The 2,654-nt window shown below is 44.5% G+C and overlaps 1 annotated feature.

Annotated features, from left to right (window-relative positions):
- Positions 1,366 to 2,004: an enhancer, noted in NCBI's record as "NANOG-H3K27ac-H3K4me1 hESC enhancer chr12:130481778-130482416 (GRCh37/hg19 assembly coordinates)". NCBI's record gives its function as "activates a minimal SCP1, AML or CMV promoter by ChIP-STARR-seq in primed H9 embryonic stem cells {active_cell/tissue: H9 hESC(primed)}" and the evidence as "EXISTENCE:reporter gene assay evidence [ECO:0000049][PMID:30033119]".

Here is a 2,654-nt window from a genome sequence, read left to right as displayed (position 1 = left end):
TTGCAGTGAGCCGAGATTGCGCCACTGCACTCCAGCCTGGGCGACAGAGCCAGACTCCGTCTCAAAAAAAAAAAAAAAAAAAAAAAAAAATTTATTAGACTAGAAAAGCAATTAAAAAATGAATAACCAGGCCGGGCGCAGTTGCTCGTGACTGTAATCCCAGCACTTTAGGAAGCCGAGGTGGGTGGATAACCTGAGGTCAGGAGTTCAAGACCAGCCTGGCTAACCTGGTGAAACCCCTTCTCTATGAAAAATACAAAAATTAGCTGGACGTGGTGGTGGGCGCCTGTAATCCCAGCTACTCGGGAGGCTGAGGCAGGAGAATCGCTTGAACCTGGGAGGCAGAGGTTGCAGTGAGACAAAATTGCGCCATTGCACTCCACCCTGGGTGACAGAGTGAGTCTCCCATCTCAAAAAAAAAAAAGAAAAGAAAAAAAAAGTGAATAACCTCAGTATGGATTCAATGTTATATCTGTTATAAAAAATATTTAAAACTTAATAGGCAAAAATTAACTCTTAGGTGTTCCTCTGTGGTTGGCTTTCTATTGACTGAACTATTTTAAAACTGTAGAAGTTCACTTAGAGAATACAGCAGTGCATGTGATTCTTATCTGAGAGCAACACAAATGTTTCCTCTCTGCAGTAATGCAAATCGATGTTGCTCATTGTAGATGCAATTGATTTCCATGCTTTAAAACATTTTACAAGTTTTTCCAATTATTTCTATCATTGCTACTGAAAACTTGGGAGCAATGTGTTCCACAGGGAACAGCTTGGATCCTTGAGTCACAACTGGAGAACCTCTGCCCTTGTGAACTGGTGGCTTGCATTTGACACTGATGTGAGCACAAAATAAACATTTATTGTAGCCACTGAGGTTTCAGGCTCATCTGCTGTAGTGGCTGGAGTTAATTACACTGAGATTGGTATTAAAGAGATTGGTATATATGGGGATTGGATGGTGGGTGTGTATTGAAAGACTATGGCTTGTGAAGTTCTCTCCTCAACTCTCTATGTAAGGACAGGTCTGGGCTGGTGAGATTAGAGAGATGTTCTCTGTTTAAACATGGGTCCTCATGTTTGAAATGTCACCACGGGAACTTCCTTGTGTGGGTTTCAATGTTGTGCCTTGGGAGGAGTTGCAGATGGCGTGATCACAAAAGGGTGAATGAGCTTGTCAGATCTTAGACAATAGTAGACATGTAGGCTCTGCAGTCAGGCAGATTTGACTTCCAGTCCTGCCTCTCAACTTGCTAGTTTGTCTTATCACCTTCTCTCTGAGCCTGTTTCCTATCTGTCAATGGGGACAACACACATGCCTATCTCACAGGATTTCTATTAGAAGAAATTGAAACACGTTCACATGAAGCATCCTTAGCAAATGTTTGGCTATTGATTTTATTGATAATTCTTCAATGTGGCAAGGAGTCAAGAGACGCTGATCAATTTACACTTCTGCTTAGGTACAGCAAATTGGATGGGGTTCTTAGGAAATAGGAGGCCCTGAATGAAAGAAAGTTATGCATTCATTCATAATTATTTATGGAGTATTCATTCTGTACTAGCAGGAGCTATGGTTATAGAAGCTGAACAAAACACAGGTCTGGCCAAAATGAGCTGACCACTTGCTTAGGAAGGCAAACAAGATACCATCATTCCTGACCCAGAGCAGCAAAGAGTGTGCGCAAGTGTTATGTAAATTCCTACAAAGAATACCTTAGTTTGTATATGAATGTAGGTTGGGGCTGGTGGGAGGTTACCTTTGAGGTAGGTTTTATCAGTGAGTTCTGCCTAGGCTGTTGCAGAGATCGCCAAACAGAGAAACTAAACCTAAGTCACTTATTTCTCTCCACTGTAGCACTCTGAGCACCTGGCCCAGGGTTGGTAGGTGGCATTATGGTGTTAGGGAGGCACGATCCTTCCTTCCTCTGCTACCTCTGCACAGTAACGATGGCTCACCTTGCCTGTTACAGCTTACCGCTCCCTTCTTGGATGGAGTTTCCTGGAAATAGATACCAAGTTTGGGATACCGGCATAGGACATTCACCGGGGGTGTTCACGGGAAGAGCACCTGTAAGGCAGTGAAGGAAGCAAGGCTGCACAGAAATGAAAGTGAACTAAGATGCAGTTGCAGGAAGACCTGAGCTGATTTAGAGATGTCCCAAATTGGACAAGCAGGCTGGGTCTTTGTACATTGGCCAGTTGTTGGATGTGGGCTGGGTCTGTGGCTGTGGAGTGAGGCTGCTTGCCTAAGTGAAAGGCAATTCCCAGGGCAGGACTCCACTGTTCACTCTCTTCAAGCAGCCAGGAGGATAAATACTTCAGCCCAGAAGAGGAGATCTTGGTGGCACACCACAGCCCTTCTCTCTAATGACAAGACCCAGATGTTGCCCACAGGCCTTGCTCCTGAATACCGTTCGCCTTAACTCAGCATATGGCCACTGCTAATTGCAAAGGAGGTGGAAATAAATACTCTTGAGCGGAATAGCCATGTTCCCAGCTACACTTTAGGCTCCTTCTGCTAACAGAAGAAAGGAAGCATACATCTTGGGAATAGCCAGCAGTCTCTGTCCCCCGAACATTGGATGAGTTGGAGTCAGGCTGCAGGAAAAGGGAGAGAGCTTTGTTCTGGGTAGAGAAGCTGTCATATGTAA

This window comes from Homo sapiens, chromosome 12 (assembly GCF_000001405.40).
Source record: "Homo sapiens chromosome 12, GRCh38.p14 Primary Assembly".
Classification (NCBI taxonomy): Eukaryota; Metazoa; Chordata; class Mammalia; order Primates; family Hominidae; genus Homo; species Homo sapiens.
This window is presented reverse-complemented; position numbering and strand designations above follow the sequence as displayed.